Genomic DNA, 24443 nt, shown 5'->3' on the forward strand with positions numbered 1-24443 from the left:
TACATGGTATTTAAAGCCATGGGACCAGACAGATCATAGGTTATAGAAATTAGAATGTAGAGTGTGAAGAAAAAAAATCTAGAAGAAAGACTTGAGGCAGTCCAATTCCTTCTGTGGAGAGAGGGAGGGTCCAGAAAGGACTGGCCAGAAAATTAGGACAACTAGGAGAGTGAGCCATAGAGGCCAAGAGAAGTGAGTATTTGAAAAGGAGAGAGAGTCAACTGTGTTGAGTGCCTTTGATAAATCAAATAGAAAGGAAGTTGAAGTGTACATTGAATTTAAACCTGTTGAACACTGGTAACCTTAGCAAATGCACTTGCATTGTAGTGGTGAGAATGGACCAGATTAGTAGGGGTTATATAGGGAAAATGAGGAAGTTTAAACTACTTTAAGATATTTATTTGTCTATAAAGGGGGAGTAGAGAGATACAGGTAGCTGAAAGGAAATATGGGAGTCAAGATAATTTGTTTTGTTTTAAGATAGATGATTTTATATCATGTTTAAATGCTGAGGGAAGGATCAAAAAGGAAATGGCTGAAGATGTGGGAGAGAGAAGGAGCTACTAAATGGGGTGAGGTTCATGAGAAACCTGGAGGGGTAGATCCAGAGCTTATGGTTTGGGACAGAAGGAGAAATCTGTCAATTGTCAAAGGGGTGGGGTGGGGATGGGTAATTAGAGAAGGCAAGGATGAGTGCTGATGTTAGTGTTGTCTAGAAGATTTGATGATAGGATGATGAGGACATTCACATTGAGTGGCTTCCATTTTCTCTACTCATGGCAAAGTCATCAGCTGGAGTTGCAGTGGGAAAGGAGAAATTGGAGGATTGAGAAAAGTAGAAAGATTATGAAATAGTTGTAGCAGGTAATGACCTTGTTTCACTGGTTATCTTAGTTTACATTTGGATCTTTAGTAGTTTGTTTTCTAGTTCTACCACTCTGCTTGAAAATATTATAACATCTCTCCAATTCACTCATATCCCCTCCAGTCCCTCTCTTTTTGCCTCTTTATTGTTTCCCTTTTTTCTTTACTACCAAACTTCTTGAAATAGTAATTTGAGTTAATTACCAATTCTTGCTTATATTTCATTTGCTCCTAAATCCTTAGGATTTAAGGATCCTGAAGTGTTGGGAAAAGGAAGATGACCCAGTGAAGAAGATGAAAGGGACCTCAAAGAAGTCAGAAGAAAATCAGCATAGAGTCATGTTAACGAAGCTGAGTACAGAATAAGATTCCAAAAGAGCTAAAAATCCATCTCAATTCATTCACCTCTTCTTTACTGAGGAATAATTGGTTATTCCTTCAATACAATCACAAGACTCTGTTTTTACAATTCACATCAATAATCTTATTACAGTGGTTTATTATTAGTTGTTTATATGTCTGTTATTCCCCTATACTCAATTGTTATTAGTCCTTCAAGTTAGTATTACTCTCTTTTTCATTTCTTTTTTCTTTATGATTTTTGTCCCCTATAACATCTAGCATTGTACCTAGTGCAAAATACGCACACAATACATATTTGTTGAATAGGTGAAGTATTTTATCTAACTTGTGGCTTAATTATCTTCAAACTCAGGCCTGAAATCCTAGCATGAAGCATGAATATTACATACTAGTGTTCATTCATTCAGCAAATATTTACAAAATACCTACCACATGTTAGTCACTATTGTTAATATAATGTGATGGGGATATAACCATAGACAAAAGAGACAAAAATCTATTTTTGTAAGCCCTTTTACAAACCATAAAACTGACCCTTCTTTCTATTCCCTGGTATTTTTCCTCTTTTCTATTCCTGTCTTATCAAAGGCTAAGGCCTTCAGGAAGCCTGATACGCATAAAGGGAATAAGATTCCTTCCTCATCATCTTGTTTGCTTCCCACACTCCATGAAACACATGTTTTGGTAGCTACTAACCTTAATTCTTTCAACTTTCTTCCTTTCTTGGACTGTGGAAATCTCTCTGAGTTGAGGAATTATAAATATGGTAACTGTATTTTTATGTTTATAAATTAGGGCACATATTCTTACAAAAAGCTTATTTTTTTCTTATTTGTAAACTAATTTACATAACATCTTACTGTGGTATAAAATTTAAATCACATTTAATTATATATATAATACTTTTTAAAAACTATACAATTACATAAAGAGAAATTAAAAATTCAGCCAAGACAAATGTTAGTTAATACAATATTTGCATTGTCACTTTCATCATCTGCTGTTGAAATGATGGCACATTATTATTCTCATACTTGTTTGAAGAACTCAGCTTGCTTAATAATTGTTTATTCTTTCCATTTTTTCCCCCCAAATTTCTTGGCAAGTCTCTGAGTACTCCATGCTGATTACTAGGAAAGATTTTACAATGCCAATGGTTATTTAAATCTCCAAAAATTGTTAATGAAGAAACAAACAATAAAGAACAAGCAAGCAAACAGCTTTCCTCAGTTCTGGAGTTTAAATAGACAGAGACTAAGCTTATATATTTTCCTTCCATTTCTGGAAGAATAATGTTTCCATGTTGAAAATCTTTAAACATATTCAACAGTCATTGATCTATTAGATACATTTGTCTCATTTTGCTAGCAAGTTCTTGTAAAGATACAACTTAAGGCCACAGTGTTCCTTTAACAGATAACATGACTGAGTTAATTACCTACTTTTCCAAGATTTATCACTCTGTGTCTCCCCAACTGAATCTACGCAGCTTATAGTTTCTTAGATTTCCTTTCTAAATGAGATTTCCTTTCTAGATGACTAGGTAATTAGCAACCTACAAATATCCAGGTACATACTACCCAAGGTCCAAATCATAACAAACAGTATTTTATAATGTTCATGTTAAGTTCTTTTACTTTGCATAGTAAAATTAACACTTTTTTCTTTCAATTCTTTTATAATCACTAATATTCATATGAGACTTCTGGTGCTGAAAAATAATAGTAGCAAACATTTATGGAAGTCGTCCTATGTGCCAGGCAGTGTTGAGTGCTAGCATGAATTCTCTCACTTAATCTTTACAACAATCTCATGAGGTTGGTAATTTTATATTCCTTTGGTCGATAAGAAAATTGAAGCACAGAGAAGTTAAGTAACTTGCCCAACATCACACACCAAAAATGTGGCAGCCTCAAATCTACCTGAAACCAGAGATTTTGCTCTTAAAAACAAACTATCATGTATCTGTCTCCCCTCAAGGTTTTGCCGCTCAAACTTAAAAACGGCCTTATGGAAAACAGTGGTATTTGTTGAGAAACTGGATGTTTTTTCATGGTTTAGGAAAACAATAATACAGATTTTTTTTTTTTAATTTAAAGTCTTAGTATATTTAGAGGTACACAATATTTAAATAGAAACTGTTCCAGAAAATTCAAGATATTTGGTCTCCATAATTAAAGAACATTAGACACAGACATACTTAAAAACTATGCAAAATAAAGTAATATTTGCATTAAATAAAGAAGGATTATGGCTAAAGACAGTAGAGAACTGGGAATAATGGGGAGGAAGGAATGAGACTGAGAAATAAAATTTGTTTTTCTAACCACGGAGAGCTAGAGGGAGAAAAACCCATAAATCACTCTGGCTGTTACTGAAAAAATGCTTGTAAAGTTCCTCAGCTTGGCAAAGGTTAAGAGAACAATAATGTTTTGTCAGCCCGAGCCAGCCAAGGAGCTGATTAGAACAGAAAGTTTATCCTTCATAGCCAGAGAGGACCCATTTAAAAGGTTTTCTTGTTTTAGAGTCTGCAATCAGACAGGCACGAAGTCACTCATCCTTTTTCTTACCCTCATGACCGTGTGTTTGAACTTCTGCTTATGGTAAAGCAAAGTCATGCTGGTATCCTGGCTTATTGTCTGAAACTCCAGTGTGCCAGTTTTAGCAGAGCTAATAATTAGTATGGCCATTTACAAAATTATAACATTATAACCCTTTGTTAGCCATTAAGAAAAATTAATTCAGTAATGGCATTATTAAATTTGTTATTACCATCACGAAAATAAATATATATCCCTACTTAAACTGGTGCAATCTTCATGAGTCATGATGAATTAAAGTTTCAGGAAACAAGAGAGGCTAGGTCTAAAAGAAATTGTTTCCTCTTGTCTCCATATTCCAAACCCAAGAAAAGCTTACATCCCTTTGTAGTTTTTTTCATCTAGATCAGGATCAAAGAATCTATGGTCTATGGCCTGAATCTTGCTCACAACTTCAGTGTGAATAAAAATTTCAAGGGTTCATATTTCTGTTTATTTTGTCTATCATTGCAAAAACCAAAACTGGTTTTTAAAGGTCTCTAGTATTATTTTAAGATGAAATTCTCCTTCTGTAGATATATCTATATTTCTTTCTCTGCCCTTTCAGCTGTCCTTGTTCTTATTTTCTCATTTTCCCCTCAAATAACAATAACACAAAAAACTACAATTCTTATTTGATAAAATTGGATGAAAGTTTGTGTCATCACTTTTAAAATTTAGAAGTAAAACTTAGAGATTACTAAGCTTCTCTCTAGCCTTAAAGTTCTATGAAAACTTTTATAGTTCCTCCCTCCAAACTGAAATCACATGCAGTCACATGTTTTACATTGCCACGTTTTTCTGTTCTGTTTAGTTGATTATGCTTAGGAATTCTTATCATTTTAAAATCTCTCTGAATTTTGTCAACATCTAAATGAAAACATCAATGTAGGTGGTATGGGATTTCACTTTACAAAAGTCCCTTGTAACACGAGCTCTCCACAGAGACCTAACCTCTTAATGAGGGTATAAATTTGCACAACCTCTTAATAATAAAATTTAGAATTACAAATGAAGACATATTATTTTGACATAGTAATATCCCCTAAAATACTGAAACTTTACCAAAGATTTAGTATGAAGGTATTATCCTCATTATTATTTATAATAGTATAAAGTTAGAAAAAAATAAAATATTCAAGAATATGGAAATGATTAAATAAATTGTGGAATAATTACATGATTAAACATAATATTGGCATTCAAAAATGATGTGTCTGAAGAAGAATATTTAATGAAATGGGGAATGCTTACAACAAAATGTTAGTTAAAAAAAGAAATCAAAATAGTATATATTAGACACTTCCAATTTATTTAAAAAGGTCCTAAAAAGGACTAGAAATAGATGTCTAGATTTTCTAAAGTTTCTCTAATACATGCACCTTACTTTTATAATCAGATATAAATGTACACAGATGTAAATAGAAATATATTAATAAAAATGTGATCTCCAGAAATCTCTAATTGGTAGAAGGACACTTTTGAGAATTTGTGTGTTTTTTGTCTACTGTGGGCTACAGTTCAGCTCTGTTGGCCAGTACCTACATGGATACCATTTTAATTACCTTTTCCTTTTTTTTTTTTTAACAAGTTGGCACTTTATTCTTTTTTTTTAATTATTATTATACTTTAAGTTTTAGGGTACATGTGCACAACGTGCAGGTTTGTTACATATGTATACATGTGCCATGTTGGTGTGCTGCACCCATTAACTCGTCATTTAGCATTAGGTATATTACCTAATGCTATCCCTTCCCCCTCCCCGCACCCCACAACAGTCCCCAGAGTGTGATGTTCCCCTTCCTGTGTCCATGTGTTCTCATTGTTCAGTTCCCACCTATGAGTGAGAACATGTGGTGTTTGGTTTTTTGTCCTTGAGATAGTTTGCTCAGAATGATGGTTTCCAGCTTCGTCCATGTCCCTACAAAGGACATGAACTCATCATTTTTTATGGCTGCATAGTATTCCATGGTGTATATGTGCCATATTTTCTTAATCCAATCTATCATTGTTGGACTTTTGGGTTGGTTCCAAGTCTTTGCTATTGTGAGTAGTGCCGCAATAAACATACGTGTGCATGTGTCTTTACAGCAGCATGATTTGTACTCCTTTGGGTATACCCAGTAATGGGATGGCTGGGTCAAATGGTATTTCTAGTTCTAGATCCCTGAGGAATCGCCACACCAACTTCCACAATGGTTGAACTAGTTTACAGTTCCACCAACAGCGTAAAAGTGTTCCTATCTCTCCACATCCTCTCCAGCACCTGTTGTTTCCTGACTTTTTAATGATCACCATTCTAACTGGTGTGAGATGGTATCTCATTGTGGTTTCGATTTGCATTTCTCTGATGGCCAGTGATGATGAGTATTTTTTCATGTGTCTTTTGGCGGCATAAATGTCTTCTTTTGAGAAGTGTCTGTTCATATCCTTTGCCCAATTTTTGATGGGGTTGTTTGTTTTTTTCTTGTAAATTTGTTTGAGTTCATTGTAGATTCTGGATATTAGCCCTTTGTCAGATGAGTAGGTTGCAAAAATTGTCTCCCATTCTATAGGTTGCCTGTTCACTCTGACAATGGTTTCTTTTGCTGTGTAGAAGCTCTTTAGTTTAATTAGATCCCATTTGTCAGTTTTGGCTTTTGTTGCCATTGCTTTTGGTGTTTTAGACATGAAGTCCTTGCCCATGCCTATGTCCTGAATGGTATTGCCTAGGTTTTCTTCTAGGGTTTTTATGGTTTTAGGTCTAACACCTAAGTCTTTAACCCATCTTGAATTAATTTTTGTATAAGGTGTAAGGAAGGGATCCAGTTTCAGCTTTCTACATATGGCTAGCCAGTTTTTCCAGCACCATTTATTAAATACGGAATCCTTTCCCCATTTCTTGTTTTTGTCAGGTTTGTCAAAGATCAGGTAGTTGTAGATATGCGGCATTATTTCTGAGGGCTCTGTTCTGTTCCATTGGTCTATATCTCTGTTTTGGTACCAGTAATATTTTGTTTTGGTTACTGTAGCCTTGTAGTATAGTTTGAAGTCAGGTAGCATGATACCTCCAGCTTTGTTCTTTTGGCTTAGGATTGGCTTGGCAATGTGGGCTCTTTTTTGGTTCCATATGAACTTTAAAGTAGTTTTTTCCAATTCTGTGAAGAAAGTCATGGGTAGCTTGATGGGGATGACATTGAATCTATAAATTACCTTGGGCAGTATGGCCATTTTCACGATATTCCTTCTTCCTACCCATGAGCATGGAATGATCTTCCATTTGCTTGTATCCTCTTTAACTTCATTGAGCAGTGGTTTGTAGTTCTCCTTGAAGAGGTCCTTCACGTCCCTTGTAAGTTGGATTCCTAGGTATTTTATTCTCTTTGAAACAATTGGGAATGGGAGTTCACTCACGATTTTGTTCTCTGTTTGTCTGTTATTGGTGTATAAGAATGCTTGTGATTTTTGTACATTGATTTTGTATCCTGAGACTTTGCTGAAGTTGCTTATCAGCTTAAGGAGATTTTGGGCTGAGACAATGGGGTTTTCTAGATATACAATCATGTCATCTGCAAACAGGGACAATTTGACTTCCTCTTTTCCTAATTGAATACCCTTTATTTCCTTCTCCTGCCTCATTGCCCTGGCCAGAACTTCCAACACTATGTTGAATAGGAGTGGTGAGAGAGGGCATCCCTGTCTTGTGCCAGTTTTCAAAGGGAGTGTTTCCGGTTTTTGTCCATTCAGTATGATATTGGCTGTGGGTTTGTCATAGATAGCTCTTATTATTTTGAGATACGTCCCATCAATACCTAATTTATTGAGAGTTTTTAGCATGAAGAGTTGTTGAATGTTGTCAAAGGCCTTTTCTGCAACTATTGAGATAATCACGTGTTTTTTTGTCTTTGATTCTGTTTATACGCTGGATTACGTTTATTGATTTTTGTATGTTCAACCAGCCTTGCATCCCAGGGATGAAGCCCACTTGATCATGGTGGATAAGCTTTTTGATGTGTTGCTGGATTCGGTTTGCCAGTATTTTATTGAGGATTTTTGCATCAATGTTCATCAAGGATATTGGTCTAAAATTCTCTTTTTTTTGTTGTGTCTCTGCCAGGCTTTGGTATCAGGATGATGCTGGCTTCATAAAATGAGTTAGGGAGGATTCCCTCTTTTTCTATTGATTGGAATAGTTTCAGAAGGAATGGTACCAACTCCTCCTTGTACCTCTGGTAGAATTCAGCTGTGAATCCACTGGTCCTGGACTTTTTTTGGTTGGTAAGCTATCAATTATTGCCCCAATTTCAGATCCTGTTATTGGTCTATTCAGAGATTCAACTTCTTCCTTGTTTAGTCTTGGGAAAGTGTATATGTCAAGGAATTTATCCATTTTTTCTAGATTTTTTAGTTTATTTGCGTAGAGGTGTTTGTAGTATTCTCTGATGGTAGTTTGTATTTCTGTGGGATTGGTAGGATATCCCCTTTGTCATTTTTTATTGCGTCTATTTGATTCTTCTCTCTTTTTTTCTTTATTAGTCTTGCTAGCGGTCTATCAATTTTGTTGATCTTTTCAAAAAACCAGCTCCTGGATTCATTGATGTTTTGAAGGGTTTTTTGTGTCTCTATTTCCTTCAGTTCTGCTCTGATCTTAGTTATTGCTTGCCTTCTGCTAGCTTTTGAATGTGTTTGCTCTTGCTTCTCTAGTTCTTTTAATTGTGATGTTAGGGTGTCAATTTTAGATCTTTCCTGCTTTCTCTTGTGGGCATTTAGTGCTATAAATTTCCTTCTACACACTGCTTTGAATGTGTCCCAGAGATTCTGGTATGTTGTGTCTTTGTTCTCATTGGTTTCAAAGAACATCTTTATTTTTGCCTTCATTTCCTTATGTACCCAGTAGTCATTCAAGAGTAGTTTGCTCAGTTTCCATGTAGTTGAGCGGTTTTGAGTGAGTTTCTTAATCCTGAGTTCTAGTTTGATTGCACCATGTTCTGAGAGACAGTTTGTTGTGGTTTCTATTATTTTACATTTGCTGAGGAGTGCTTTACTTCCAACTATGCAGTCCATTTTGGAATAGGTGTGGTGTGGTGCTGAAAAGAATGTATATTCTGTTGATTTGGGGTGGAGAGTTCTGTAGATGTCTATTAGGTCCGCTTGGTGCAGAGCTGAGTTCAATTCCTGGATATCCTTGTTAAACTTTCTGTCTCATTGATCTGTCTAATGTTGACAGTGGGGTGTTAAAGTCTCCCATTATTATTGTGTGGGAGTCTAAGTCTCTTTGTAGGTCACTAAGGACTTTCTTTATGAATCTGGGTGCTCCTGTATTGGGTGCATATATATTTAGGAGAGTTAGTTCTTCTTGTTGAATTGATCCGTTTACCCTTCTGTAATGGCCTTCTTTGTCTCTTTTGATCTTTGTTGGTTTAAAGTCTGTTTTATCAGAGACTAGGATTGCAACCCTACCTTTTTTTGTTTTCCATTTGCTTGGTAGATCTTCCTCCATCCCTTTATTTTGAGCCTATGTGTGTCTCTGCATGTGAGATGGCTTTCCTGAATACAGCACACTGACAGGTCTTGACTCTTTATCCAATTTGCCAGTCTGTGTCTTTTAATTGGAGCATTTAGCCCATTTACATTTAAGATTAGTATTTTTATGTGTGAATTTGATCCTGTCATTATGATGTTAGCTGGTTATTTTGCTCGTTAGTTGATGCAGTTTCTTCCTAGCCTTGATGGTCTTTACAATTTGGCATGTTTTTGCAGTGGCTGGTACTGGTTGCTCGTTTCCATATTTAGTGCTTCCTTCAGGAGCTCTTTTAGGGCAGGCCTGGTGGTGACAAAATGTCTCAGCATTTGCTTGTCTGTAAAGGATTTTATTTCTCCTTCACTTATGAAGCTTAGTTTGGCTGGATATGAAATTCTGGGTTGAAAATTCTTTTCTTTAAGATTGTTGAATATTGGCCCCCACTCTCTTCTGGCTTGTAGAGTTTCTGCTGAGAGATCAGTTGTTAGTCTGATGGGCTTCCCTTTGTGGGTAACCCGACCTTTGTCTCTGGCTGCCCTTAACATTTTTTCCTTCATTTCAACTTTGGTGAATCTGACAATTATGTGTCTTGGAGTTGCTCTTCTCGAGGAGTATCTTTGTGGCATTCTCTGTATTTCCTGAATTTGAATGTTAACCTGCCTTGCTAGATTGGGGAAGTTCTCCTGGATAATATCCTGCAGAGTGTTTTCCAACTTGTTTCCATTCTCCCTGTCACTTTCAGGTACACCAATTAGATGTAGATTTGGTCTTTTCACCTAGTCCCATATTTCTTGGAGGCTTTGTTCATTTCTTTTTATTCTTTTTTCTTTAAACTTCTCTTCATGCTTCATTTCATTCAGTTTGTCTTCCATTGCTGATACCCTTTCTTCCAGTTGATCGCATTGGTTACTGAGGCTTGCGCATTCATCATGTAGTTCTTCTGCCATGGTTTTCAGCTCCATCAGGTCCTTTAAGACTTCTCTGCATTGGTTATTCTAGTTATCCATTTGTCTAATTTTTTTCAAAGTTTTTAACTTCTTTGCCATTGGTTCAAACTTCCTCCTTTAGCTCAGAGTAGTTTGATCTTCTGAAGCCTTCCTCTTTCAACTCGTCAAAGTCATTCTCCGTCCAGCTTTGTTCCATTGCTGGTGAGGAGCTGTGTTCCTTTGGAGGAGGAGAGTTGCTCTGATTTTTAGAGTTTCTGGTTTTTCTGCTCTGTTTTTTCCCCATCTTTGTGGTTTTATCTACCTTTGGTCTTTGATGATGGTTACATACAGATGGGGTTTTGGTGTCGATGTCCTTTCTGTTTGTTAGTTTTCCTTCTAACAGACAGGACCCTCAGCTGTAGGTCTGTTGGAGTTTACTGGAGGTCCACTCCAGACCCTGTTTGCCTGGGTATCAGCAGCGATGGCTGCAGAACAGCAGATATTGGTGAACCGCAAATGCTGCTGCCTGATAGTTCCTCTGGAAGTTTTGTCTCAGAGGAGTACCCGGCAGTGTGAGGTGTCAGTCTGCCCCTACTGGGGGGTGTCTCCCAGTTAGGCTACTCGGGGGTCAGGGACCCACTTGAGGAGGCAGTCTGCCTGTTCTCAGATCTCAAGCTGTGTGCTGGGAGAACCACTACTCTCTTCAAAGCTGTCAGACAGGACATTTAAGTCTGCAGGGGTTATTGCTGTCTTGTGTTTGTCTGTGCCCTGCCCCCAGAGGTGGAGCCCACAAGGCAGGCAGGCCTCCTTGAGCTGTGGTGGGCTCCACCCAGTTTGAGCTTCCCTGCCACTTTGTTTACCTACTCAAGCCTGAGCAATGGCGGGCGCCCCTCCCCAAGCTTTGCTGCTGCCTTGCAGTTTGATCTCAGACTGCTGTGCTAACAATGAGCGAGGCTCCATGGGCATAGGACCCTCTGAGCCAGGTGCGAGATATAATCTCCTGGTGTGCCGTTTGATAAGCCCATTGGAAAAGCGCAGTATTAGGGTGGGAGTGACCCAATTTTCCAGGTGCTGTCTGTCACCCCTTTCTTTGACTAGGAAAGGGAATTCCCTGACCCCTTGTGCTTCCCAGGTGAGGCCATGCCTCGCCCTGCTTCGGCTCATGCGTGGTGCGCTGCACCCACTGTCCTATACCCACTGTCCGGCACTCCCCAGTGAGATGAACCCGGTACCTCAGTTGGAAATGCAGAAATCACCCATCTTCTGCATCGCTTACGCTGGGAGCTGTAGACCGGAGCTGTTCCTATTCAGCCATCTTGGCTCCACCCCCCTTAATTACCTTTCAATAAGTCTGTGTAGTGTTTAGGAAGAGATGGTAGTGAATCTTGACTAAACAAATCATATGAAGACAGAATTTTTGATTGGAAAGAACCTTAAAAGTCACCTAGTCCAAATCCTCTTCCTTTTTCTCAATTTCAGCTATAGTCAATCCACAGATGCAAAGGAATTTCGTATTAATAGTAATGGGAACATAAATTCAAATCTAAAGCCAATTCCTATAAACTATTTTACTAAAGTACCAAATAATGGAAATGATGACAATATTATTTATTAGTGGTTTGCATTCTACAAGTCACTTTTATATACATAATTTCACTTGTTTCTTATATTACCCTGTATTTATTCCCATATAAAAGGGTAAATTGAGGCTTAGAGGCTAAAAGTGCTTGTTAGTGCAACAGTTAGTAAACTTAGGCCTGTCCCAACACTAAATCTTTTTTCTTACCACATCACAATGTGATGGATGAATATGTGAAAATTATTTTAGAATATGCACAAAGAGCTGATTTTAAGTACATGTTTAACAGCAAATATTTGAGTTTTGCCCCTAGCAGGGCAAAACTATTTGCTATTCTGTTATTGATTGTGTGCTGAGCCATATTTTGTGTCTTGGTTCTATCCTAATGACCCCTGCCTGTTTATCTGAAACCCATGACAGCTATGACATTATCTAATTAACCCTGTGGTTTTTCCTTTGTGGATTTGGACTAGGAATAAGGGTTTTAATGCTGATTGTTATTTATTGCCATATAATAGAAAGCTGACAATTATTAACCAGTACTCCTCTTGAAGGATGTATAATAGGGTCAGAAAAGAGTTAGATGAAAACTTAGGAAGGAAAGGTAATTCCTAATCCTCTGGAAAAATTTGCCAGAAAGGATATAGGTGGAACCTGTTTACTTAGCTATGTTCTCTTACTGAAATTCTAACTTTTAAACCGGCAAATAATAAGGACACTGCTATAACTTGATTGAAGAGTCAGAAGTGAGTGACAAATTAGGTTGCTCATGCCAGGACCTAGAAGCTCACAGCACGCACAATGGAAATGTTCGCATTTGCTAATGTAAACAATTGCCAGCCCCACCTTATGGTAAGTATTATGTCATCATTCTCCCTCCATCCAAATTCTCCTTCCAGCTGTTCTGATAGTCACTCAGACTACAGCCTTTCTCAGCAAATTAATACTGCCTTACTACATCTAATTAGTTATTGATAACTGATTTTCTTCAATTTTGATGGGGTACTCCCCTGCGACTCTGTTAATGTATTTCAAATTATACTGAGATTTCTTGTGAGATAAGAACCTCCCATTAGCTTGCCGTTCCCAAAGTCTTCCATTTCTAGTACTCAGTGCCCATGAACTCTCAAATGTCTTTTTAGTTCTAGTATCCAAATTCCTGAAGAGATATTTTCCATTTTTTTCTGTTTTGTTTTAACCTAATACTCGAATTTGTCATAATTAACTTTTCTAATATAAAACACCTTTATAAAGGGATTTCTCTGGGTCCTCAACAGAAAACTACTAGCGTGAGGAAAGAACTTTGGAGTAAGATTGAGATTAGTCCAAATTCTTGTTTCAAAACCTACCAGATGTATGATATTGGGCTTATTACTTAACCTTGCTTTGCTTCAGTTTTTTACCTGTAAAATGGAGTTATCTATAGCTACCATACATTATTGTTGTGAGGATTAAATGAGAAAATAAATGTAATTTTTTTTTTGAGATGGAGTCTCGCTCTGTCACGCAGGTTAGAGTGCAGTGGCGCGATCTCGGCTCACTGCAAACTCTGCCTCCTGGGTTCAAGCAATTCACCTGTCTCAGCCTCCCAAATAGCTGGGATTACAGGCTCCTGTCACCGTGCCCAGGTAAATTCTGTATTTTAGCAGAGACAGGCCACCATGTTGGCCAGGCTGGTCTCGAATTCCTGACCTCGTGATCCACCCACCCTGGCCTCCCAAAGTGCTGGGATCATAGGCGTGAGCCACCGCGCCCGGCCAATAAATGTAAATTTTTAAACACAATTCCAGCTCATAGTAGATGCTCTCCTCAAAGGATGTTGAATTTGATGATCTTATTGTCATGGGCTAAATTGTGTCTTCCCAAAATTCATATGTCAAAGCCCTAACCTTCAGTACCTCAGAATGGAAGCATATTTGGAGATAGGATATTTTAAAAGGTGATTAAGCCACAATGAGGCCATGAAGGTGGACTCTAACACAATCTGACTGGGAGCCTTATAAGAAGCGGAAATTTAGGCACATGGAGAAATCAACGAGGGATGTGAGCCCACAGAGAAAAGACCATGTAAGGCCACAGAGAGAAGGTGACTATCTGCAAGCCATTGAGAGAGCCTCAGAAGAAAATAAATCTGCCGATGCCTTGATCTTGGATTTCTAGCCTCCCAAACTGTGCTAAGTTCCTGTTTTTTAAGCTACCCAGTCTATGGTATTTTGTTATGGCAGTCCTGAAAGACTAATACACATACAATCACTATTTTAGGTGGAGAATTGACCCGCCACCTTTTTTTCTATTCTAGTTTCTATTTAATCTTCTAAATGGTATCAAATAATAAGGCACCGATTAAGAGCATGATCTTAGAAGTTAGACAGCTTTGAATTCGAAGACTGGATTATCCACCTAAGTGACCTTGGGTGAATTTCTTAAATATTTCTGAGCTCCAAATTTCCTCTTTCATAAAATGGGGACAATACCTATCTTATAGAGTTATAATAAGGATCAAGTTAAAAGAGTTGTATGTAAAGTTCATAGTACAATGTTTGACGTAGTGCTAAATAACTGGTAGAATTATTATTATCTCTATATACAATGGATTATTTACATATGGTTTTGTCAATTTTGCTTAGTTTTCTGTAACCCTAGCCAGTTAAATTTTCTTCTCTGTGTGAAGTGCCACACATGTACATACTTTCTACAATTATTTAATTATTTTGCAGGTGTGGAAAGGCAGCCTCTCTTAGCTTCATTGTTGGCTTGAGTCCAAAATCACGAACACTTAAAGTGAGTTGTAACATATTTTCAACACACATCCTAAAAATCCTTCTGATGTAGTAGATTTATTTAAATGCTTTGATGATTTTGCTCCATGGATCAAGCTGAAAGTATTTTTCTTTTTGCAGTTCTTCATACTTGTCATTTTAGGAAGAAATCAAGCCTTATTCAGAAGCTGTACCTCAGCCATTCCTCTCCACAAAGTATTCTTCCAGTTTGCAGTGAATGATAAGGGGTCATCATTATTATTACCCGATCCAACTCTGAAGTTTCTCACATTATTTATAAAATATATGCTGTGGTCTGGTCTCATTGCTGTTAATAGATGGTTTATAAAATAACATCTTATTGCTTTTTAATTAATCCAGGATGAAATTTACTTCCATAGATATTTCATTATGCTTCTCTCACCTAGTAAGATTTTTAGGCTATTGTTTCTGCTGTCTCCTCATACACACAATGTACTCTGCCTCTTGCTTAATTCTATCCTTTGCTCACAGTTTGTGAATTGGCATCACAATATCCTGTGTGCACAGGCTCTCTGAGACTGCAATTATGTTATGATTTTTACTTGCTGCCATTCATTCAAATTAATATTCACTGGGCACTTACTATGTAGAAGACATTATGCTATTCACTGTGGAGGAACACAGATATTTGAAATAATCCCAAATAGTCCACAATCTAAGCATCCTAATGATCATATTTTTTTAGGCTTCCAATATTTATTTGGAAACATGAATACATTTTGACTTGGCTTTTCTCCCACTTCCTATACCTATTTGTTGTCCCATCTAACTCAGGCAGTCCATTGAATTCTCTCCAGGGTCCTCAAGAAGGATCTCTGTCAATCTTTTGTGTACTTTTTTCCTCAGCTCTCCCCCAATTTTTAGAATAAAGACCATCATTTAGTTTGTGATAATATGGTGCTAGTGATGATCAGTTTAAGAGGTTTTGTTTGCAAACATTACATCTCACTTTGCTGAATTGGGGCTATTCTCCTTCTTCGCTCCCATCAAAATGTCAAACCACTACTTGCTATAGGCTTGCTTTCATTTATTAGAAAAATGAAAACTCAGCCACTTTATTATAACCCTCCTTGCCTCTGTTTTTAAAAAGAAAAGACAGACATAAAACAAGGAAAGCAAACTCTTTATCCTTAACTAGCGTCCATACTTTGAGGTGAGCAATGGGCCAGGAAGAAGAGAAGAAAAAAGGTGGAAAAGAGTAAAAAGATACCTGTTGTTAGGGACCCAATACAGAATTTGGAACCCTACCAAGATCTAGTTTGTGTCAGACATATCACTTATTTCCACCATTATTTTTACCCCTTTCAAACATTATGTAATTGGGTACCAACTCATATATCTTTAATAAAAAATATTAATAAACCAACTCTTCAGAACCCTTTACGTGCCTATTTTAAGTGAAATATTGTGCCTGGTGCTAAATAATCTAGGAGAAATATACAATTCCATGCTTGCCTTCAAGAAGGTTACTGTCTAGCTGTGGCAATGAGAGACTACCAGCAGTGTAGGGAGTCCCAAAAGGAGTGAAATAGTCATTCAGGACAGAAAGATTCAACGTTGAGCTGAGGATCTGAAAAACTGAGCTCTATTTCATCTTTACCATTTCTTTGCTATGTCCTTGGACAAGTCATCATCCTTCAAGTCTCCTGCTTCCTCCTTCCCACTCTCTCCCTTGATTGAGAGAAAAGAGAGAGAGAGAAGAGGAGAGGTGAAAAAGAAGAAAAAGAAGAAAAGAAAAAAAGAGGTCAAAGATTGTAAGATGTAAGACAATATTTGAAATGATCACTAATGAGTTCTGTTGTGATGCCCAAATTGAAGTCTCAGTTAGCTGTGACCCGCTGAACTGCCATTCATTTCGCAAAGACATCGGGGTCCAAATTTTCCCGAAGTCAATAGCAGGTGAGGGCTCAGAACCAAATCTATCCTGATACAGTTTTTTTTTCTGCACTGAATAATACATCTTTCAAAATGATTATTGTGACTCACAGAAATAGCTTAAAATATATTCTTGATACGGTTTACAGAGTGAGAAATATTTCTTTAAAGAAATTAAATATCTTTGTATATGTGAGGATGATGGGGAAGGAGTAATTCTACTTACTAGAGAGCAAGGTAAGCAATCAATTCCTTAGGCTCTAGAAGGCTATATATTCTGAAACTGTTGAAATACAATTCTCCTTGGCAGATACGAACCATTAAGCCATTATTGGTAACAGCAGGGGTTAATCACAGATACAAGTTGAGTGCAGGTAGCAGGAGAGTGATGGGAGCCAGATAGATGCTCCTGAAGACCGGGAAGAGGCTCGCAGAAGTGAAAAGGTGCAAAACACTTGCTCAGTTCACCATACTGTCCAGAGCCATACCTAAGGTAAGCAACGCTTCCCGCATCCTCAGACTCCAGGCGTCCAAATTCGCACGCTTGCAGGCATTCTATTGATTCACACTTGAGTCCTTCAACAGGTAGCGCCAATTACATCCCCCAGAGCACGACCCCCAGCATACTGGCCAATACCGCTGTCAATCAAATACCTCACCTACTTCTCTAAATTCCCCCCTCCCACTGTCATTGGCTTTACCTTCGGCCTATCCACAGATTTCTTCTGCCCTGGAGACCACAGAACTTACCCTATCGAATCTAGGATTGGCGCCGAAGCTACTCCCGCCCTTTGACGTCCCCGGGCACCCCGCCCCCTTCACCTCCCAGCTTTGCCGGGGAAGAAGCAGGGCGGGGCAAGCTAGGGGCCGGCCCGGGGGCGGGGCCTGCCTCCCACGGCGGGAGGGCGGAGCCTGCTCTGGAGCCTGACTGCTCGGTTAGGACCTCGGAGAGCGCCAGGCGCCGCGACCAGAGGGCCCAGAGAAGCGGCCGGAGCCCGCCTACCTCGGCCCCCTCAGCTTCCCGGGCTGGCAGGCGGCTAGAGGCGTCTGAGGAAGGTGCCTAAGTCCTGGGTCAGATAGTCATCCCTCTGGGACGCCGCCGCCGCTGCCGCCGTCCAGCTGTGGCTCCCTCGCACCTGTGTGTGTCTGTGTGAGTGTGTGTGTGTGTTTGAGAGAGAGAGAGACAGAGAGAGACAGAGACAGAGAGCGAGCGCACCAGCGCGCGAATGCCCGTGTGAGGGTGTTTGTGTGTGTTCTGGCTGGGAGCGCGAATGCCTCGGCGTGAGGTGTTTGTGTGTTCGCGCGCCCGCGGGCGGGCGAGAGCCCCGCGCCTCAGCGCTGGGCCTGGGGGAGGGACAGCGGGAGCGGCGGCTCTGCGCGCCCAGCAGGCTGAGGCGGGACTCGGGCCGCAGCCGTCGCCGCCACCGCTTCACGTCCCCCGAGAGCGGCTGCCGTGCAGCGGGGAGAGCGGACGGCGGGCGGGCGAACAGGCGGGAGAGCGCGGCGGCGGCTGCGGGCAGAGGTGGAGGGAGGGGAGCAGGAGATGGGGAGAGGGGGGAAAGAGGACGCGGGGAGGGAGATGAGGGGGAGGTGAGGGGGAGGCGGAGGGACAAGTGGAAACAGACGGTGTCGCCGTTCTCCTCCTCCCCCCCTCCCCGGCAGCTGTTGCTGTGGGTCACTCGCAGATGTTTTGGGGTCCGGGCTGCTGGGGGATGGGGACTAGAAAAAGTACCCCCCTCCCCGCCTTTCATAGTGACAAAAAAGGAAGCGTTGAAGCTGATGGGGGAAGAGCCCGGAAGGTGGTGGCAGAGTAAATACCGGCTCCCCCAACGTCGTTTTTCTGAAAATAAAATACTCTGAGCCGAACGTTTCGAAGAAGGAAAGTCCGCCCTTAAGAGAGAGACAGAGTCTTGGTCTGTTGAACTCTGGTTTGATTGTATAATAATGATGATATAATGCTAATGACGATGATGACACTGCCTTTTATTTTTACCCCAGTGCTGATAAAGCGTAGTTACAGCTGGGGATACAGTCCTTGAAAATCTGATGTGTGAGGAGGGAATACTGTTGCTTTTGGAGTTGTGTTATATTTATCTTTTTTTAAAAAGGATATGCTTTTTAGAATTAAAATTTGGCAAAACGAATCCTGACTCTTTTTTTCCAGTCGGTCGTAACCAATGCTCATAAAATGGGGACTGACTTGACTAATGAAAAGAGAAAGGCTTTTACCAAGGTCTAATTGCACGTGTTAAGTCACCTCTTTCCCTTTTTTTCCTTTGTATTTCTCAACAGTGTTTAAAATGAAGAAGTTTAATTTCCGAAAAGTTTTGGATGGCTTAACTGCCTCCTCCCCTGGCAGTGGTAGCAGCAGTGGCAGTAACAGTGGTGGTGGGGCTGGAAGTGGTTCCGTACATCCGGCGGGGACTGCAGGGGTTCTCAGAGAGGAAATTCAGGAAACTTTGACTTCGGAGTATTTCCAGATTTGCAAGGTAAGTTTTGAATTGGCTTAAAGCCTATTATTTCTTTATTATACTGTTGTAAGGAAACAAGGGGGGAAAAACATACCAGGAACAGGAAACTGTTGAGATGTCAGCATCAGAGTCTGCTGCAGAAAGCTCTGTGGGTAGATCAGTTTGGCTTAATAGATATTTTAGGCGTCAACTTAAAAAGCAATGATAGTTTAAGTGGGAAATGAGCACACACAAAAAGTAGAATTTGCAAGATAATGTTAAGATCCAATAGTGGACAAAATTTTTAATATTTGTGTATTATATTAACTGAAGAAGCAAATAGTCGTTTGGTTTTTTGTGTTATCAGAGAAAATATTGTTATTTCACTGTTCAGTATGAAATGAATAAAGCTACTAGCATGTTGCTAGGATTAAGTAGATAATAGGAAAATATGTTCATTTTAAGGGGGCCAATGACATTGCTTTAAAATTCCGAATAAAAACACCTTCACATTCTTAAACTCTTCATAAATACACAAACAGACAAATGCACAGGCTTATAAGAACTTGCAGTTGTAGGAACTCAAAAATAGCGGGTGTTCTGGTTTAGTAAGAAAACATTTTATGTAATTATACTTTGATATTGAACTTCTAATGAATATGCAAAAGAGAGTTTCTGGTAGGTAGAGAAGATGAGAGTTTATAAAACAAGCATTAGGTTAATGCATAGAGATATTGTTATTGCTATATTTGTTATATTTTATGACATAAAGTGATTTATAATTTTATTGCCCTTTTTTGAGTTGTCTTGGAATGTGCCTATTATATGCAACAAAGGCTACTAAGTTATTTATGTCATATAAATGAATATAGTTTTGTAAATGTGTTTGGCTACATAAGAAATAGAAAAATTGCAAAATTACAGAAATTAACAATTTTTAAAAATACTTTCACAAAAGAAAAGTTTTTTGAAATTATTAAAATTATATTTGTGGTAAACAAGTGATATATGTATAATGAGGTATATTTCAATCACTGTCTCAGCCTATATTCCTAGCAGGGTCATTATAAAAACATTAAATCTATAGTTATTAGTTTACATAAAAGCAAGTTTATTTAGAGTTAATTTAGATAAACAGATTTAATTCTAAGCTACTTTGTGAAATTTGTGTACAGTAATAATTTTTTTCCTCAATAGGAAATAACAGATATTCTGTTCGATGAGGGAAGGTCTTAACAGTGGTTATGAGACAAATGTAAAAGAGTCCTGGAGTTCAAATTTGAACTGCTAGGCAGGGGAATTATGCCCTGATTCTCTAATCTTTGATGTGTTTGCAATTTTCACGATCAGATTCTGAAAATTTTTTCCAAATTCTCTCAATTCATGTATATGACAGTGATACAGGAGAATTTTACCAGAGGTAAAACTGGTATAGGAAAGATAGACTTCTGAAACAGAATGGCATTGGGCTGTTGAGGTCATAAAGCTTGTAGAGAAGGTTTTAAATAAAAAACTTCAGGGAAATGGGTGAATGCAAGAGATAATGGAATACATAGTTATCTTCCCATTTATTCAGGCAAGAGATAGTCATAGGAAGTACCAGAAGTTAAATACATACTACTTTAAAAACATATGGCATGGTAGGAAGAGCACTGGCCTAGGAATCAGAAAATTTGTGTTTTATTTAAAGTTCTGCTAGTTGACAGCCATATACTCTTGGGTAAGCCATTTATCTCCCTTGAGCCTTGATTTCTGCATCTGCAGTGTAGGAATAAGTGTATCTGCTCTCCTTAACTAAGAGACGGTTATTGGGAGGATCAGACAGAATAAGGTGAAGGTAATGCATAAATGGAAAGGATGATAAAATATATACGAATATTATTGTTAAAGTTTGTAAAATCACGTGTTCATAGTAGAGCGAATATAACTAGTGGGTTATAATAATATTAGCTTATGATTTCCAAATAAATTATAAGATAGATAGCTATATAAGTTGTCCACTAACAGTACTGAAGTCTTACTAAATGTGGAAAATACTGTAACATCTTTGGATAGGAATATAGTTAATTTTAAAAAATAGTTATATGGATGTATTATAATTACCTGGTCTATAACAAAACATATAAAAATGGACTAAGGAAATCCCAAAATTAGACCGTTACTGAAATGGGGACTTTATTTAGACTCATAGACTCCCTGATTAAATGTGCAAAAAAATTTCTCTTCTGAGTTCTAAGGAGCTGTCATATTCTGGGTGCTTCTACCTTTTCAACATGGGCAAAACTAAAGTATAAATCTAGACTTGGCTGTTTGAAAGCCTCCTCTCTTCTATCTGATTAGTCATCACATCCCCTCTATTCTATTTCCTTAGTATTTCTGAAATTTATGACCTTTTCTACATCCCCAGTACTTGTTCGTTCCGTCATATTTTCTTGCTTGGTCTTTTGAAATCACTTTCTAACTGATCTCTTTACTTCTAGTTTTACTGGATTACACTTCATTTTGTTACAATAATGGCTATTTCTGAAATACAATGTTAATTATGTCATTTCCTTGCTAAAAATTCTATATTGGTTTCCTACAGCAATGATGCTCTTAAAATGAAAGTCTTATTTGAAACCACAGTAAATAACATCTATTCAAACAAAAAAATGTGGCAACTCATGGGCACACATTTGTTTCAGAAATTATAAGAATAAATTATACAGCCAATTGATAAAAAAACTTTTTATATTTGTTTTTTATTGTGTAATATCGCCCATAGGAAGGTAGTAGGATGTTCGCTAGCCTTAAAAAAGTGAAAGTATAAAGCTGTACCCTTCATAATAAACAAAATATCTATGAGATGTTCAAAGTCATAGAAATGGCAGAAGAAACTTTGGTTCAAGGTCAGCCAAAAAAAAAAAAAAGTTAATGCATTGGGTTACTGCAATCGTTCAGAATGTGTATACATTGGAATGCCTGCATTGTCCAGGTATTTGTGAAATACATGAACTGCCTTTCCTGAACTTGAATTCTGTGAAATACAATTTGAAACTATTGCTCTATAAAATAAATTTCAAATTGCTTACCTTGATGGGTATAGAGTTTCCTTCAGAAGAGATTCCTGTTTACCTTTCCATTTTTATTTGCTTGATTCCCTAAGTATACTGCATTCCCTAAAAGATACCATATTTTCTCATATCTCAATGCCTTCTCTCATTCTTTCGTTTCTGACTAGAATACCTTTTCTACTTTCATACGATTGGATAATTCCCAGCCATCTTTTACCTCATAATTCAAACATCACCTCTATGAGACTAGCTCTGACCACTGCCACCTCAACTACCCACCAGGGTTCTTTTTTTTCTTTTTTAAAAACCTATTCTATGTTTTTCTGTAGCATCTGGCATATACCTATAGTGTGAATTTAGCATCTTCCTGTGATTAAAAAAGTTTCTTAAAAATCTGTCACTGCCGTTATACTATGAACTCTTTGAAAAGCAAATAATTTTTTTTTCTTGTTTCCTTCTTATTGCTAGGGTATACACTATCTAGCTGGCCAGTATTTCTTAACTCTGGTGTCTAAAATAGAGATTTCCAGCACCTCCCCATTCTTAGAGAATCAAAATCTCTAGGGATGAGTCCTAGGCACTTGCATTTTTTTGAATGGCCCCACAGGAGATTTCTATGCACAGCCATTAGTGAAAACCATTATAGTGGGCACTTGATACACTTTAAATGAGTAAAGATGCATATACATGATTGGTCGATTAATTGAAAAAGATATTAAAGCAGAGAGCAATTACTACTTATATATGCCTTAAACATTTTATTTTAATTGAAAACATCTAAATATACAATTTACAAATCATTTGATAAATGACTACGTTTTTCTGTTGAATGTTGGTTCTGTGATTGGAGTTCTGTGTGGACTTCTCTTCCATAAACCTTTCCAAATTCATATCTACAACTTTCAGTTTTGGTTTATTTAAAGCAGAGTAAGAAATTACATGCTTTTGAAGCAAACCAAGTGTCAAGTCCTTCTAGATTATATATACAGTGATATGTATAAAGCAAGGCTTTATTTTGTTCACATCTGTATCATCTATGTATAGAATGGTGCCTGGCCCATTGAAGGCAGTCAAATATTTGTTGAGCAAATAAATGAATAAATTAAAGGAGGGAAGCTATACAGATTGTTGTGTTAAAAGCAAACTAGATATTATTTTGAACAGCTTCTTGGAGTTGCTTTTATGAAATAACTTTTATATAAAGAGGTGGAGAGCATCTAGTGAAAGAGTTGATACCACTTTAGGAACATGGTATATGCTTTTCAAACAGATGTAGAAAAGAAGATTGTAGGAGGATTTAATTAAATTTATTTCAGTTTTTATTGAAGAAGATATTAGGAACATTCTCATTTTTAAATGATCTTTTTGGGGGAACAACTCAGAAGTTCTAGATTGACAGTGACAAACACACAGGGTGTTCTAGACCTAATTAACAAAAGATAAAAATAAGTATATTACCAAAAAAAGAGTAAAATAAGTATATTACCAGAACCAGATGACATAATCCCTAAATTTCTGAATAAACTCTTAAATTAGCCAACTCACTATTCATAATCATTTATAAACTGTTTTTATAAATGGTCACAATGTCAGAAACAACATGTAGTTAACTAGTATAACTTCTGCAGGGAAATGGATTTATAACAATGATGCTCATATCTGACATAATATCAGATCGTACCAGGTAAATAGGTATAGATCAGAAATACAGGCATGAACTGTAGAGAGTTGGGCTTTCCAGGACCCTAGCAAGATGAAAGGAGATTAAATGCCCAGATATCCTTGAATACTATCTCTTCCTCAAGATTTTCATTGTCTCCACATTCTCCTAATTTCACTCCATTTTACTTAAGCGGTTTTGCAACTGAGATTGGGAAAAGATCATGATCACAGTTCCACAGTTATAAAGTTTTCATCCATAAAAAGAATAATAGAAGATTCCCTGAGATGTGTGGATTTGTTACATTCTCCTGTCACCAAAAAGCACAGTAGAGGCATCTTTAAGAATGGTAATGGAGGCAAGGAAGAATTAATCTACCATTAAGACTAAGATGCTAACAAGCGTAATAACCAGAAAGAATTAAAGATTTTTTTTTCTTTTAAGAACCAGAAACCAAAGCCAGATGACTCAGTACTCCAGGCTGTCTGCTTTGCTTATCCTGAGAGCATAAGGGTGTAGGGGCAGGCTTGAGTAAAGGATTATAGATGTGTAGAAGTACGTTTGTAAAATTTTAAAGTTACCTAGAGGGCAATCACATTTTCTCACAAAAAGTCCTTTGGTGCTAGTATTTGTCAGCAAATTGGGTTGTTGGTCTTGTATAGTGTGGTGGTTCTTAAATGTTCTTAAAAACAAACAGTGCCGTCATACTTTTTGTATTTCTCATACATACAGAGCTAAGTTAAAATCTTAACATAATTTCCAAGTATGTTTTTCTGTAGGAGTATTATCACTA

General features: G+C 37.8%; 1 protein-coding gene and 1 long non-coding RNA gene across 16 annotated transcripts in view, besides 1 other annotated feature; one reads left to right on the plus strand and one right to left on the minus strand.

Moving 5' to 3' along the window:
• Window positions 1-17302, minus strand: part of LOC105374069 (uncharacterized) — a 46400-nt gene extending 29098 nt beyond the window's left edge. Inside the window, exon 1 of one of the 2 annotated variants that reach the window (XR_924399.4) lies at window positions 17238-17302. This is a non-coding gene — a long non-coding RNA (uncharacterized LOC105374069). Of the gene's footprint in view, window positions 1-16713 lie in introns of both variants that reach the window. The other variant, XR_924398.4, reaches the window with a different exon arrangement.
• Window positions 17246-17485: a silencer, noted in NCBI's record as "silent region_14637". NCBI's record gives its function as "represses an Ori minimal core promoter by ATAC-STARR-seq in GM12878 lymphoblastoid cells {active_cell/tissue: GM12878}" and the evidence as "EXISTENCE:reporter gene assay evidence [ECO:0000049][PMID:35858748]".
• The window catches only part of STXBP5L (syntaxin binding protein 5L), a 516557-nt gene continuing 509527 nt past the window's right edge, over window positions 17414-24443 (plus strand). For 9 of the 14 annotated variants that reach the window (NR_145516.2, XR_924217.3, XR_001740373.2 and 6 more), the window contains exons 1-2: window positions 17414-17543; window positions 18780-18976. Coding sequence is in view for 10 of the 14 variants with exons in the window: in NM_014980.3 (NP_055795.1) it covers window positions 18788-18976 (189 nt within the window). In the remaining 4 variants the exon portion in view is untranslated. Of the gene's footprint in view, window positions 17544-17885; window positions 18401-18779; window positions 18977-24443 lie in introns of those variants that run through there. The other 5 variants (XM_006713825.4, NM_001348345.2, XM_017007535.3 and 2 more) reach the window with 2 other exon arrangements.

The sequence above is a fragment of the Homo sapiens genome, chromosome 3 (assembly GCF_000001405.40).
Source record: "Homo sapiens chromosome 3, GRCh38.p14 Primary Assembly".
NCBI lineage: Eukaryota > Metazoa > Chordata > Mammalia > Primates > Hominidae > Homo > Homo sapiens.